Genomic DNA, 17,280 nt, shown 5'->3' on the forward strand with positions numbered 1-17,280 from the left:
AATAGTGTTATCTTCAAGTTTCCAAATATGAGTGTCTGCAGTTGTTTGGGGGCAGAAAACTGTCAATCACAAATTCTACAAATACTTACTACTATGACCTGGAGGCATTTACAAATTGGAGGGGTTATGTGAGGAATTGTTGATGGAATCAGGAAAAAGGCTGTGGGAAGATGCCGCCTTTAACATATATCTGTGCAACCCTCACCTCCCAATTCTAATCCAACTACAAGTCTACTCTATTTACGAGATTGCCGCTGAGGCAGAAAGATCTATGAAACTCCAAGACTATAAAAACTAAGCCCCGTGTGTGCTGGGGTCCTCACAAAATTAGAGGATGACTGTGTAGCTATCTGCTGAGACTAGAGCTTCATGATCTGCCAGTCAGGGGTGAGAAGCTGCTAGAAAGAGTTTAGCCAGAGAATATCTGTGAGTCCTCCTGCAGGATGGGAAGTGGTGTCCCTAGCTCCCACTGTGCTACGGAAGTTTATAAGATGCTTTGAGCCTTCTATACGCCTAATGGGACAGAGTGGAAATTTTTGCAACTGAGACCAGAGGGCAGAAATACATTATACGAGTATCGCCACAGAGGACTAGTGACCTGCACAGGGATAAAGACTACCATGCCACATGACACAATCACGATTACCAGTGCTTAAGGTACCGTATAGCTTGATCTGAGCTCTGATAATAAATATATCCATGACTAAGCAAAGGAAAGTAAGAATTCCTTTAAGACGACCCATTGTCAAGTAAAGAATGAAAAAGCAAGAGAACAAGTTACTAGTGAAATGAAGCTGCTGGCAGAGATGGATGACAATAAAAATACGTTAATAAAAAAACACTTAAAGAAATTCAGCCAGGCACAGTGGCTCACGCCTGTAATCCCAACACCTTGGGAGGCCGAGGTGGGCGGATCACAAGGTCAGGAGTTCGAGACCAGCCTGGCCAACATGGTGAAACCTCGTCTCTACTAACGAAATGCAAAAATTAGCCCGGCATGGTAGCGTGTGCCTGTAATCCCACCTACTCGGGAGGCTGAGGCAGGAGAATTGCTTGAACCCGGGAGGCAGAGGTTGCAGTGAGCCGAGATCACACCACTGCACTCCAGCCTGCGCAGCAGAGCAAGACTCTGTTCCCCCCCCAAAAAAAAAACAAAGAAATTCAATTACGGCATTAAAAGATTCTGAAAAATAAAAATATCAGTTGTGAATTAAAACATTTAAACGATGAAATGAGACGGGATAATACTTCCCAAACACAAATTACATCCTTGGAAGATCAAGTAGAAGAAAAATCTCAAAAGATAAATGATGATGGGAAAACTTCACCTCCACATGCAAAAAAATAAGACTAGGTCCCTACATCTCATCATATACAAAGATCAACTCAAAATGGATTAAAGGCTTAAATGCAAGACCTGAAACTGTGGAACTACTAGAAGAAAACAGTGAAAACGCTTCAGGACATTGGTCTAGGCAACGATTTTTTGGATAAGAACTCAAAAGCACAGGCAACAACGGCAAAAACAGACTAACGGGATTAAGTCAAACTCAAAAGCTTCTGCACAGGAAAAGAAACAATCAACAGAGCAAAGCTACAACCTACAGAATGGGAGAAATACTTGCAAACAATGTTCTGATAAGGGATATAATGTATATCTGGAATTTATAAGGAATTCAAAGAATTCAGTAACAAAAAAATAAATACTTTGATTTAAAAATGGGCAAAATATCTGAATAGACATTTCTCACAAGAAAACATACAAATGACCAACAGGTATATGAAAAAATGCTGAACGTTACACTAATTATTAGGGAAATGCAAATCAGAATCACAATAAGATCATCTCACACCTTTTAGAATGGCTATTATGAAAAAGACCAAAAAACCCCACAAATGTTGGTGTCTATGTGGTGAAAGGCGACCTTTTATATGCTGCTGATGAGCGTGTAAATTAGTACAGCCATTACGGCCAATAGTATAAAGGTTCTCCAAAATGTTACAAATGGAACTACTGTATGATCCAGCAATCCCAGTACTGGGTATATATCCAAAGGAGATAGAATCATTATGTCCAAGACATACCTGCATTCTCATGTTTATTGCAGTACCATTTACAGTAGCCAAGATATAGAATCAACCTAAGTGTTCATCAGTGAATGAATGCATAAAGAAAATGTGGTGCATGTACACAATGGAATACTATTCAACCATAACAAATAACAAAAACCTGTCTTTTGCAACAACACGGATGAACCTAGAGGACATTATTTTAAGTGAAATAAGCCAGACACAGATGGACAAATACTGCATAACCTCACTTATATGTGGAATCTTAAAAACGCTGATCTCATAAAAGTAGAGAGCAGTTACCAGTTGCTGAGGAGGGTACTGGGGAGGAGAGATAGGGTGAGGTTGGTCAATGAGTATGTCACAGTTAGCCAGGAGAAAAACGTTCTGGTACTTTATAGTGCACCATGGTGAATACAGTTAGCAATAACGTGTTGTATATTTCAAAATAGCTAGAAAAGAGGATTTTGAATATTCTTATCACAAAAAAAATGGTTAAGATTACGGATATGCTAATTACCCTGATTTTACTTCTTTTATTTCCTTTTGTCTTTTCTTTTTTTTTTTTGAGACAGTCTCTCGCTCTGTCACCAGGCTGGAGTGCAGTGGTGCAATCTTGGCTGACTGTAACCTCTGCGTCCCGGGTTCAAGTGATTCTCCTGCCTCAGCCTCTCGAGTAACTGGGACTACAGGCGCGTGCCACCACGCCCAGCTGATTTTTGTATTTTCAGTAGAGACGGGGTTTCACCATGTTGGCCAGGATGGTCTCAATCTCTTGACCTCCTGATCTGCCTGCCTTGGCCTCCCAAAATGCTGGGATTACAGGAGTGAGCCACCGGGCTCGGCCCCCGATTTGATTTCTAAACAATGTATACATGTATTGAAACATTACATTGTACTTCACAAATATGTACAATTACATGTCCATTAAAAATAAAACAAAACTAAAGTAATATGTAAATCTGGCTAGAAAAGCTGAGGAACTTTGAGCATAGACCCTGAAATTAATAGGGGTTCCAGAAAGAGAAAAATCAACAGATGAAGAAGTAATCATTAAGGAAATAATTGAACAGAGTGAACCTATTGAAAATAACATGGGGGTTTCCAGAAGGGACTCATTAAGGAATATACAGCTAGGTATATCCTGATCTTAAAAAAAAATAGAAAATGAGTATAGCATCTGGAGAGGGAAGTAACTTTTTAAAAAATTAAATTAATACTGGACTTGTCATCTGTAATACCAAAAACTAGAAGTTGGAGGCTAAGGGGCAAACCACTGTGAAAAAAACAAAGTGTGACCCCCAAATCCAGGCAAGATATACATAGTGCCCATAGATCTCTTTGAGTAATATTTTCAAGAAAAGACTAATGGACACCGATCAAACATCTAATAAACTCTGCCAAAGCCTTAAGAGAGGAAACAATGATGAAAGGAAAGAAACAGAGGTGACAATAAATACTGAAATATAGATAAGTAAATCTAAATGCAATATGCCATTGTGACTGTGAATGTGTAGTATACATGAAAGAGAAAAGATACACTACAGAAGAAATCTAATCACAACCTGGAACTAAAAATATTATCGCAGGAAAGTTGAAGGGAGGATAACAATAGGAGCAAAATCCAAATTCCAAACCAGGTGAAAGATGGGAAAGAAGGAAAAAAATAAACGAAAATAGAAGGATAAATAGAAAACATAGACTATGATGACAGATATAAGTCCCAATATGACACTAACTATAATAAATGTAAATAGATTAAACTCTAGAACCAGTTTCCACAAACTGTGACCTGAGGGCCCAACAGAATATAAAATTTCATAGGGACCCCACCTGTTTACATATTGTCTATAAATGTTTTCATCCTATAATGGCAGAGTTGAGTAGTTGGAAAACATACCATATGGCCCACAATGCTGAAAATATTTCACTATCTGGCCTTGTACAGAGGAAGCTTACAACATCTGTTTTAGAATCATAAAAAGAGATTCAATGATTGGATTATTTTAAGAAACACATATATGCCAAGATATTATCTAGAGCAAATGCATTTAGAGCAAAAAGATATAGTGATTCAAAAATAAAAATACAGGAAAATGTAAACTGAGCAAATGTGAACCAGAAAAAAAAGCAGAGGTAAAAACTTTTCATTTCAAGAAAAGGTCATTATGTACCAGTAAATGGTCAAGAGATCGAGGGAAATACACAATGACTATGAGCATGTATGCACTCAGTAATATAGCTTTGAAATAAAGCATGAGGCTGAACTATGCAGCCAAATAATTAAGTTGATAAATGTACTTGGGAGATTTTAATGCACCCCTCTCAGACACTGGTAGTTCAAGCAGATAAAACTTAAACGAGTGTAATCAACTGTAGATTTGTTTACATTTAAAATTTATATTCGGCAAACGAAATACATACTTCATTTTATTTTTTTATTTTTAAGACGGAGTTTCGCTCCTGTTGCCCAGGCTGAAATGCAATGGTGAGATCTCGGCTCACTGAAACCTCCGCCTCCCAGGTTGAACCGATTCTCCTGCCTCAGCCTCCCAAGTAGCTGGAATTACAGACACGCGCCACCACGGCCAGCTAATTTTTCTATTTTTAGTAGACATGGGGTTTTCACCATGTTGATCAGGCTGGATGGTCTTGAACTCCTGACCTCAGGTCATCCACCCATCTCAGCCTCTCAAAGCTCTGGGATTACAGGCTTGAGCCACCGTGCCCGGTCTCATTTTCAAGCACACAAGGAATATTCTCATTAACTATACTAGGCTGTTTCACAGTATGTATCAAATGCCTTAAAATTACACAAATCCTTTAAACCAGCAACTTCTCTTTCAGGCACTTACCTTAGGGAACTAATCAGACTTGCACATAAATATATTTTCACATAACGTTCATTGCAACATTGTTTATATTAGAAATAGATTGGTAGTAACCCACGGTCACACAACAGAGCAGTGATTAGATAAATCACTGGTGCACTCACATGCAGTTCTAACAGCCAGGAATGCCCTTTCTTGGACATGAATAAAAAATTGCTAGTTCCCATATAGGCACAGACAAAGGGCCATTGTATAACCTGATGCACAGACCCAGATGAATGAAAATGCTATGCTTGCGAATAAATGTGAAAGAACAACTATTTTAGGACCCGGAATTGTAACGCTAAGCCTTAGTAATGAACGGTACTTCTTGAGTCGCAAAAGTATTCACTTTTGGGCTAGTATATGATGCTTTGGGGCACTTATGTGACCCTTTAAGCAGAGGTCAAAATAAAAGCCTACAAACTCTTTTGCTCAGGACACCACGGATCTAACAAATTCCTGCCAATGGACAGAAAAGGGACATTCAGAAGCTACCCTACCTCAGATATGTCCTGTGCGTATCTGTTCTCTTACCTTTTTTAGCTTGACAAAACTTAGGAGGAGAAGTCATAGGTATCCATACCTTTCATTTTCAGCATTCCTCACATCTGGTCTGATCTTTGTCCAGCACCTAAGGCATAATTACACCAAAAATGATAAATCCATTAAGAGTAATGTTAGACAAATCTTGAATTCTTATAGCAAAAGTTTATTATGATATATCCAAAAAGCAATCACTAAATAGCATTACAGAATGAGACACCATTAAATTACAGCTATCCTTTGGACACATACATAGAAAAAATAACTAGAAAATGTATACCAGCTTGTTCACAGTTCTCCAGAACTGAGATTATAATTAGTTCACTTCTTTTTAGTCTTATGTATTTGCTACATTGAGAGCAATTAATATGTATTACTTTGGTAATCAGAAAAATTGATGTTATTTCACAAATTAAACAACAATGAATGCCATAAAATTAATGTGTAATAGTTCATATGGTAGTTCTTAATTAGCCCACTTTTTTCAACAATACGCTGGAAAATTCCCACTGAGTTTGATGGGAATCATAAAGCCCGTGGGCGAGGGGAAGAACGGATTCAATTTCTGTTTCTAATGCTAGCGTAATAGATAACTTCTAATTTTGGACTCTAAAACTAAGATACATTGAATTTATATCTAGGAATGTAATTCATATAAATGTTTACATACATAAAATTAAAACCCTAATTTTAAACATACAAATAATTAACAATAATTTAGGACAGCTCATTTAAAATCCTTAGGATTAAATCTCTGAATTTAAATAAAGAAAATATTATTTCCATGATTACATTGTTTTCCTGGGAAATACAACATAGTTCCTACAATGGGAAAAAACAGTGACCTGGATCTGCTAAACATCTCACTGTGAGTTGGACAAGTCAGATTTATCTCCAAATCCTGCATCTGAATACAACTATGCATTTATATCTTTATACATACATTATCTATTTATTTATGTTTCTACAGAGCAGTCTTCTAAAATACACCGCTATTTCAAAGTTTATTCACTGAGCAGGTTCTATTTTCTTCATGTATGACGTGAGACAGTTGGAATAAATGATCTCTGATGATTGCTTAAATGGGGCAATTGTCACCCTACAGACACAGCAGCTCTATGAAGGAATCTGTGTTGATATAAAGCCATCCAGGTTTTATACAGAGATTCACAGATCTAACTTAAGAACAAATTTGTCCCCATAAAGAAACCTTCTTTGCCAATCTGACCCAATGACCACACTGAAACGTCCCGGCAATGATAAAGCACACCCAGGCTTACCCATAGGAATGCCTCCTGCTCCACAGAAACTGAATTCCTTTAAAGAATTCCTATAATCTCCTGCCATTTGTAATCTCTCCAATATGTGAAAGGGTTTCTCAGTCACCATGCAATTAAAGGTCCTCCTACACATCCAGATGTACTCATTCACATCATCATTTCACATTTTGGTTTTATAGGTTAATTTATACAAAGGTCTCACTTGCAAGTAAAGGAATGCATTCTACTGGTTTTCAGAAGTATCTAAAGGCTGCAACTACTTACCGCTTTCCATAATGCTATCAAAATACACTAGGTTTATTTATTATTTCTGCAAAGCAAATCTAAAACTGAAATCCACAAAAATACGGCCAGTTCATTTAAATAGCATTAAAATTCCTCGTTGTATCTAGGTGAATACTATAATGGTTAATCCTATACTATCACTGTCACAGCAACACAATTAACATTTTTTTCATTTAAAATGTTTTGGAGAACAAAAGATGAATGCTTCCAAGTTAATTAATGCTCAAATAATTATTTTAAAAATTAAATCAGAATTTCTAACACTGCATCTCAGTCACATTATCATTTAGTGAATTCAACACGAGTTACAGCACCCCTATGACTATTCCATGAACTAATAAATGATCATCTACTTTAGTTTTTTTTTTACCATGAAAGCTAAAATGTATATTTTTATCCCTTTTGCATGTGATTTTTCTTTTAGCTCATTCCCATAAATGAACTCTTTAATCCACCATTGTTTCACACATAATCTAATTTGGGTAATATAGTTCTCTATTTCTTTATCTTAGGATTCATACTACCACATTATTTCTTTAATTGTGTAACTGACTGTAATGCATTTATTACAAGAGTTAAATGTTACTATAATGATAGTTACTGCATTATTAGATGATTTCTAATAGTTAAGTAAAACATTTCTTGATTGCCAAACATTAATTTTATTAGGAATGTAAATTTTTCTAGTGTAATCATTTACTGATACAGCTTTAAAGGCACCAACATGTCTCTGGCAAATATTGGAACACATACGGTCATGGACTTTAGCTATTGGTAAAAGTCAAGTACCACAGAGTACTATAAAATAACCCTTTGAAGCCAAGTCCTTGATGCTGTTTCACGGACTCTATGAAATCACATCAGACTACAGTTAGATATCTTGCTCTGCTACGTAATTTTACGGGTTGATAAGTCTTGCGCCTCGTTCTTTGTGTGTAATTCCTCATGACCTGGCCAGCGACAAAGAAACCGTGTAATGCTAAGCCATTATCACTGGCTAGATAGATTAGATTCAGCCTTCAGTAGGCCAGATGCTGTTGCGATAGCCACCGTTACAGGGAAAATCTCTTTAAACCAAAAATCAAAGCTTCATCCAAACCCTACTTGTTTCAAATAATCTGGGTAAAATCAAATATAATATTTATCAAATGCTAGGAGTGTGGCAGACACAAAATATACTGCCCAGCTCCCACTTCAAGGAAGGACTTGCTGCCCATCTGCAGGAAGTGTGGTTCAGCACACAGCCTCTAGCTGTCAACTCCTGCAGGGTCTGCCTCAGCCGCAGAGTCACCTGGCTCAAGGTAACACCCACAGAAGCCTACATCTGGCATCTGAACAGGTGGCTTTATAGCCATAAAGCCTACACCATTCCAGGCCAATGCCCGGTATCACTGATGCACAACGCTTTCTCAAGAGCTGCCAGTAAGGCTGAATGAGGCTTTGTTGCGCCTGCATAGAAGTTCCACCTCTTTCTCTGCCCAATCCTGCTTCAGCCTCCTCCCTCTCACAGCTGTTGATCCTTAATAAATATTTGACACCCCATACACTCAACCTCAATGTCTGTTTTTGAGATCCCAACCTCCAGCAACATATCAGGTGGTATGTATTTGTATGTGTTTGTGCGTTGTAAATGTCAAATTCTGTTAATGGCATCAAGACAAACTAAACTTCCCTTCACTGCAAAGCAACTAAAAACCATGTATAACCTATTTTTAAAACTTTTCAAATGTATCATCCATCCAAAAAATGAGGAAAATCCTTAGAGGCCAAAAAATGAAGCTAAAATCTAAGTACTGCTCCACGTAGAGCACCTGATAGGAACTAACATGACTCCGCCAAGGAATTTATAACTGGCCAAGTCCCTATGTAAAGACGTCAGGAACAGGTAAATATACTGCGGTAGCCTCTGTAACTATTCACTAAATGTTCCAGTGTTGCTCCTTTAGTCTTCTTCCCTGTAGAAGGATACATCCCACTCCAAATGAAATCAGGAGAGCCCACGGGACTCACTTGGGCTAGTGAAATGTGGAAGTGATATGTGTCTTTTCCGGGCAGAAGGTTTAAGAGAGTGGTTCACTTTGTCTCCTTTCTCTCTGCCATGAAGACTGACAGTATTCCAGAAAGAAGATACTCCCTCAGCTTGTTTTCTGAAGTAAAGATGACATAGCATAGCAGCTGGGCGCGGTGGTTCACGCCTGTAATCCCAGCACTTTGGGTGGCTGAGGCGGGCGGATCACCTGAGGTCAGGAGTTCAAAACCAGCCTGACCAACTTGGTGAAACCCTGTCTGTATTAAAAATACAGAAATTAGCCAGGCATGGTGGTGGGCGTCTGTAATCCCAGCTACTTGGGAGGCTGAGGCAGGAGAATCACTTTAACTACAGCTACTTTAACCTCAGCTACTTGGGAGGCAGAGGTTGTAGTGACCCTAGATCGCACTACTGCACTCCAGCCTGGGCGACAGAACGAGACTTCGTCTCAAAAAAATGACATAGCACCGAGAAATAGCCAATCCACAGTAGACTTGTAGCATGAGTGAAAAGTAGATATTTATAATTACATGTATCCAAAATGTAGGATACATTTGTTACTCAAGCAAAACCTTGTGAATCTTAAATTTAATTTTATTCAGCATCTACTTAAATGTTATCTCATCTAGTCCTCAAATCAACCTTATTAGGCAAATAACTATTCTAGTTGGTGCTTTCATTTGCGAACAACAGACACCGAGTCTGGTAATATAAGCAGAAAAACAATTCGTTAGAGAGATAACACATTGTTCTTAGAGTCCATGAGAAGAGCAGAGAGTCAGGTGAAGAATATATGGCAATAGTCAAGGGAGGAAGAGCTCACCCAGAATCACCCCAGAGAAGCAGTTTTCTTAGGGTCCCACTGGAAGCACTGTCACTTCTCAATACTGTCACACTACTGGACTCTAGCCTCTGCCACAAACACTGCAAATAAGTGTTGACTTTCTCTACATCTTAGTATACCTCCTAAAGTGTCAGAGCTCCTGGCAGAAGCGTCCACATGGCTATGCTCGTCCCCTGGGTCTATGCCAACAACTTGAAGTTAAGAATATCTGCCCCTCATTCAGTTTCCAAGTAAAAGGTAAGGCCCTGACTCACATTTCTCTCTGGATTACCCCCAATGTTATTTAGATACTATGAAGACAAAAGTGATTGATATAGTATTTTCAGAAAAAAAAGTTGAGAAAATTGAACCTTGGAGAATTTAAGTCACCAATTCAAAATCACACACCAAGAATGACTTGTATCAGTCAGAATGCTTACAGCTGCAAGTAACCAAAATCCACAACTCAAGCAATGAGGCGTATGTTATCACACACAAAAGGTATTTCGAGTGAAGTGAAGGCTTCTGGGTGGACTGGATCAACTCTTTAATGATGTAATTAGTTCATGTAATTTCTTAGCCCTCCTGTCCACATTTTCAGCTTCGTATTAATAATGCTAGTACCCCTCATGGTTATATGATACCTGCAAGAGCCATCAAAGCTATGCACGTCTTTGTTCATTTTCTACCAGAGAAATTCTATCACCCTATTTATACCTTCTTTCTTGCTGAGCCAAATTACATCACATCTTCATCCCTAGACATTGCCACATACTGATTAGCTTAAGCTTGGCTTCCTGAAATAATTGCTGGCAAGAGGAAAGGCATTATTATGATTGATTAGTTTATCATTTATTCTGAAGCTGAAGATAAGGGCACCTTTTTTTCAATTACATGAGCTTCATGAAGGAAGGCAAATGCCTTAAGAAAATTACGGTTCTCTTAAGAAGAAAGAAGGGGGAAATGGATAATCTGTAGGCAAACAACAACCATGTTCTGCGTCCTTCTAATACATACATCTTTAAAAGTGTCCACACCTACATGAAATTCCTTCAAGTGTCCCTAAAGAGAGGCTCCCTAAAGTTTCTTCTGGGTAATGCACTCAACTCAAGTCCATAATCTCTAAGTGATGCATCAGTGATCCAAGACTAAATAGTATTATACTAACCCCAAACACATTTATGTATCCATGATGCAGGAAAAACAAGGCAACATTAATAAAAGTGATTATTTTAGACCATCCTGGCCAACATGGTGAAACCCCGTCTCTACTAGAAACACAAAAATTAGCTGTGCATGACGGCACCCACCGATAATTCCAGCTACTCGGGAGGCTGAGGCAGGAGAATCGCTTGAACCCGGGAGGCAGAGGATGCAGTGAGCCAAGATCGCGCCAATGCACTCCAGCCTGGTGACAAGAGTGAGACTCTGTCTCAATAAAAAAAAAAGTTATTATTTTTGGGAAATGACAGGAGGGAAAATAAAGTGATAATGCTTTACAATACAATATAATCTGTTAGACAGCAATAGAGAGGATGTTCTGTCCTAGAAGTGAATTGAGTTTCCTGATCACCCAAGCTGGCTTCCCCTGGTTCTGTTCTGGGAGTATCCCTCATCAGCATTTCCCCAAAGTCAGAGGCAGGATAATCATTTTCCAGATTATTCCTCATAAGAGGCTTCACTGCTTTAGTAGTCTGCTTTGTATTGGTATAAGCATACAGACAAAGGGATCAAGGTTGTTGGCTAGGATTTTTGTTTCTTGGGCAGTAAAGCACACATAAATTAACAGCCTATTTACTTTTAATCCATTCTACTGGCTAGGAACTCCAGCCAGAGATCTTGTCAAACCACGGGCTTGGAATCTGACAATATCACGTTCCTTGCTAGAGCTTTCAAAGTGCTACATTCAGCTTCTGTTTAGCTATTAGACGACATTTATGAAGACAGGAAGAAGAGCTACCATACTCCAACATCCAAAATTTCCTCTACTAATACATTCTACATAGGAACATGATGATTCCCAGTGTAAAATGCCTAGTAGTTTAACAAAATGCTTTTTAATCGTACGAAGCAACATGTGCCAAATATTTACAATTCATTTCATTCATTTAATGATAACCTATTGAACACTTAGAGCCTAAAGTAGCTATTGGTACAGTAAGGCTACATAACACATAAGTATAATATCTCAGAGGTAGACAAAAATACTCATTTTTCTCATCCATGGGTCTTCAAAGTCAATGAGGGCAGAATAAATTCAGGCTGAAAACTGAATATAGGTGTGCTTCACTATGTGTCTCATTCCGGTATATAGGTTGAAGCAGTCGCAACTAGACAGGGCATCTTTTTTTTTTTTCTCTCACAGCAATGGCAGTAGACGAGACAAGCCCAGCATTAAAGGTACTTCAAAGGTACATTTCAACTCTCTTCTCAGATCATGATAATCTCCTCTAGAAACACTTTCAAAGACATACCCAGAAGTAATGTTTAATTTGAGATCTCGGTACCAGGTGACCCAATCAACTTGACATATAAAATTAACCATTACATCATCCAACTATCATAAGGCCATGGCAGGGAAATGTATGTATAATACCAGTACTACAAGTGACTGAATAATTATGACAATTTAATCTACCACATCTGCTGCATCCCAAGAGTTGTTACAAACACTGAGGATAGAGCAGTGCTCAAAACAGGCAAAGCCACAACGCTGCTGGGTTTTAACTTGCAGTTGTGGAAACATGAAAACAATGAGCACAACCCCAGGTGTATTTATAAAATGTTACGCAATGTTAAAAATGTTCATAGTAGACCAGGTGCAATGGCTGACGCTTGTAATCCCAGCACTTTGGGAGGCCGAGGCGGGTGGAACACCTGAGGTCAGGAAGTCGAGACCAGCCTGAACGACATGGAGAAACCCCATCTCTACTTAAAATACAAAATTAGCCGGGCATGGTGGCGCATGCCTGTGATCCCAGCTACTCCGGAGGCTGAGGCAGGAGAATCACTTGAACCCGGGAGCCGCAGGTTGCAGTGAGCCGATATCGCACCACTGCCCTCCAGCCTGGGCAACAGGAGCGAAACTCCATCTCAAAAAAAAAAAAAATGTTAATGGTAGAATCGATGGTGGGTAGACAGTGAAATGTTTGAAAAAGCGACGCAGGTTAAGGGGTTTATAAAGTGGATGTGTTTTTGACATTTTGGATGGGGTGGTCAGGGAAGCATCTATGAAGAGCTTACATTTGAGCAGAGATCTGACAGATGGGAGGGATGGATCCAAACTGAAATCTGGGAGGAAAGATTTCCAAGCAGTTGGTAGAGCAAGCTGAAAGGGCTTTAAGATGAAACATGACCTGCTGTGTTTTAGGACAGCAAGAAAGCCAGCACAGCTTAGAAGACTGGTGGGGGATGAGCCCAGAGCGTTAAGCAGTTGTGTGATCACACAGGGCCTTGCGGCAATAAAAAGAACTTTGAAGTTCATTTAAAATAGTATGGGTAATGTGACAATGTTTTAATATAAATAGATGTGAACATTTTAATTTATTAATAAGGGAACCAATAGGGAAGAAAGAAAAGAGAGTTCCAAGAGTATTTGACAAGCAAGAATTTATATAGTCAAGGCGAAAAAAAAATGCCTATGTAAGACTTCTAAGTTAGATATATGGTTGTATGCTTTTCTACAGGAAAAGAAAACCATAGCAGTTTGGGTATTAACTTTCCCAGCAGACTACACAATTCTAACACCTTATCAATTTCTTGGTTAACCTCTAACTTCACAGGGTTCCAAACTGACTTCACTGTTAATAGCTGTGGATGCTTATTAGCCAAATTTTGACAAGGCTGCCATCAGATGAGAATGTGTGTCAGAGGAATGTCAGATGAGAATCAATCAGGCTTCTTAGGACATATTATAACATGATATTAACATATCAGGTCATTCCTATTTTGTGATTTTTCCAAGTTTTGGATAAAGCCTTCTTTCACAAAGACACTGGAGGGAGTACGATATAGTTTGGATGTTTGTCCCCTCCAAATTTCACATTGAAATGTGACCCCCAGTGTTGGACATGGGGCCTGGTGGGAGGTGTTTGGGTCATAAGAGTGGATCCCTCATGAATGGCTTGGTACCCTACCCATGGTTCTCATTCTATCAATTCACGTGAGAGCTAGCTGCTTAAAAAGAGCCCAGAACCTTCTCCTCTCTCTCTCTTGCTCCCTCTCTCACCACGTGGCATGCCTATTTCCACTTCACCTTCTGCCATGAATACAAGTTTCCTGATGCCTCATCAGAAGCTGAGGGTGCTGCTGTGATGCTTGTACAGTCTGCAGAATTGGGAGCCAAATAAACCTCTTTTATTTACCAATTACCCAGTCTCGGGTATTCCTTTTTAGCAACACAAAACAGACTAATACAGAACAGAATGTTGATATTATATGACTTCTTTTTAAAAATAATTTCTTTTGCTGTTATGTGGTGAAGAGATTGCAAGATGCAACCATCAAAGTAGAATCACCACTTAGGAGCGTCTTACAGGAATTCTGATGAGAAACAATGGCAACTTGGACTAAGACACTGTCGGTGCAGATGGAAAAAAGCATAGAGATCCATAAGAAATTTGGTTGTTGAGTTTGCAGGAATTGATGATATGTGCCTTTGTCAACATATCCCCTCTTCAGACCATAAACATTACTAGTAGTTTGTAAGGCTCATCACTAGTGGGGAGAGAGGCAAGCTCCAAAATAACCCCTTTCCCTGATTTGTTTGCAACGTTACTGGTAATTTGTCTTTCCAAGTTCAATGTCAGTACTCCATTTTTCCTGTTACATAGCTAAAGTCTTCAGGGACAGCCAAAAGCAATGTCTTCTCTCCAGTAATGTCGAGAAACATGTCTTAATCGCATCACTCCAGCAATTCTCCCCTCTATCTAGCATTGCTCTTTTCCCACTCTTCTAGGTCAATATCATCAGATACAACTATGCTATTATTTCTATCATCTTAAGAAAAACTTGACTTGATCCCACTTCTTTGTTCAGCTTCACCCCCATTTCTGTCCTTCTCTGAAAAACAAAAGTCTTAGAAAGTATTGTCTATATTCTGTTTCTAATTCATTTTAAACCCAAATAAAGCTTGAGCTCCCACCATTCCAATAAAACTGCTCTTGTCAAAGTCACAAGTAAATAAATTGAATTGAAATAAAATGAATTAAAACCTACTCTTTCTATTCTGAGGCCTCACGTTATTAAAGTTAGCAACGGCATTTCAACAAGTTGGTCATATTCCCTTCTCTGATAGGCTTTCTTCATGTAGCTTCCAGAATACCACACACTTGGATTTCTTCCCAACACTCTTTCCACTGCTTCTTGGTTCCCTTTCAAGGTTCCTTGTTATTTCCGAGGCTTCTAAATGGCAGAGCGTTTCTGGCCCTTAAAGAGTCTCTCTACATTCATATATTTGATAGTCTCTTTGTATCCTGGCCAAAATACCATCTACATGCTGCTGTCTCCAAAATATATGTTTCCAAACTAGATCCCTTCTCTGAACTTTATATGTATACCTTTATATTCTATATATAACAATATTCTTATATATAAATATTCTTATATATTCTTGGCTGGGCGCGGTGGCTCACGCCTGTAATCTCAGCACTTTGGGAGGCCGAGGCAGGTGATCATGAGGTCAGGAGATCGAGACCATCCTGGCTAACACGGTGAAACCCCGTCTCTACTAAAAATACAAAAAATTAGCTGGGCATGGTAGCACACTCCTATAATCCCAGCTACTCGAGAAGCTAAAGCAGGAGAATCGCTTGAACCCGGAAGGCGGAGGTTGCAGTGAGCCGAGATTGTGCCACTGCACTCCAGCCTTCCAGCCTGGGCAACAGAGGGAGACTCCATCTTAAAAAAAAAAAAAAAAAAAAAAAAAAAAAAGTGGTCAATAGACATGAACAGATATTTTTCAGAAGAAGACATACAAATGGCCAACAAACATGAAAAAAGGCTCACCACCACTAATCATCAGAGAAATGCAAATTAAAATAACAATGAGTTGCCATCTCACAACAGTCTGAATGGCTATTACTAAAAAGTCAAAAAACAACAGACCTTGGTGTGGATGTATAGAAAATGGAACACGTACTCTGTTGGCGAGAATGCAAATTTGTACAGCTTCTTTGGGAAACAGTATGGATATTTCTCAAAGAACTAATAATAGAACTACCATTCAATCTAGCAATCCCACTACTTGGTACCTACCCAAAGGAAAAGAAACAGTGATATCAAAAAGATTCCTGCACTCGAATGTTTATCGCAGCCCTATTTGCAACAGCAAAGTCATGGAATCAGCGAGTGCCCATCAATGGATGATTGGATAAAGCAAATGTGAGAGAGATATATATGTGCGTTATATGTATATATATCTATGTGTGTATATATGTGTGTGTGTGTGTGTGTGTGTGTGTGTGTGTGTGTGTGTGTATACGGAGCACTACTCAGCTATAAAAAAGAATGAGATGGCCAGGTGTGGTGGCTCACGCCTGTAATCCCAGCACTTGGGGAGGCTGAGGCAGGTGAATCACCTGAGGTTAGGAGTTCGAGACCAGCCTGGCCAACATAGTGAAACCCGTCTCTACTAAAAATACAAAACATTAGCTGGGTGTGGTGGCAGGTGCCTGTAATCCCAGCTACTCGGGAGGCTGAGGCAAGATAAATCGCTTGAACACGGGAGACAGAGGTTGCAGTGAGCCGAGATCGCACCACTGCACTGCAGCCTGGGCAACAAGAGCGAAACTCTTGAAAGAAAGAAAGAAAAGAAAATGAAATCATGTCTCTTGCAGCAACATGAATGAAACTGAAAATTTATTATCTTAAGTGAAATAACTCAGAAACAAATAAAATATTGCATGTTCTCACTTATAAGTGGGAGCTAAATAATGTGTACACATAGATATGGAGGGTGGAATAATAGATATTGGAAACTTGGAAATGTAGGAGGCTTTGAGGGAGATGAGAAACTACGTAATGGGTACAATGTACACTATTAGGGTGATGGTTACATTAAAAGCCCAGACCTCACCACTATACAATATAGTAAGATAACAATACCACATTAGTACCCCCTAAATATGTACAAATTTTTAAAAGGCCTAGTTAACATCTCAACTAAAATATCTAATAGTAATAATAACAATAGTAACAACCGATGCTTGTGTGGTGCCATTAATGACTGAGTCTTCCTGTTCTCTCAAAATTAATATGTTGAGATCCTAACCCCTGATGTGATGGTATTAAAAGAGACTTTTCAGATGTAATTAGGTCATGAAGACACACTCATCAATGAGATTTATGCCTTTACATAAAGATGCAAAACAGTTGCTT

The sequence above is a fragment of the Homo sapiens genome, chromosome X, assembly GCF_000001405.40.
Source record: "Homo sapiens chromosome X, GRCh38.p14 Primary Assembly".
NCBI classification, from domain to species: Eukaryota; Metazoa; Chordata; class Mammalia; order Primates; family Hominidae; genus Homo; species Homo sapiens.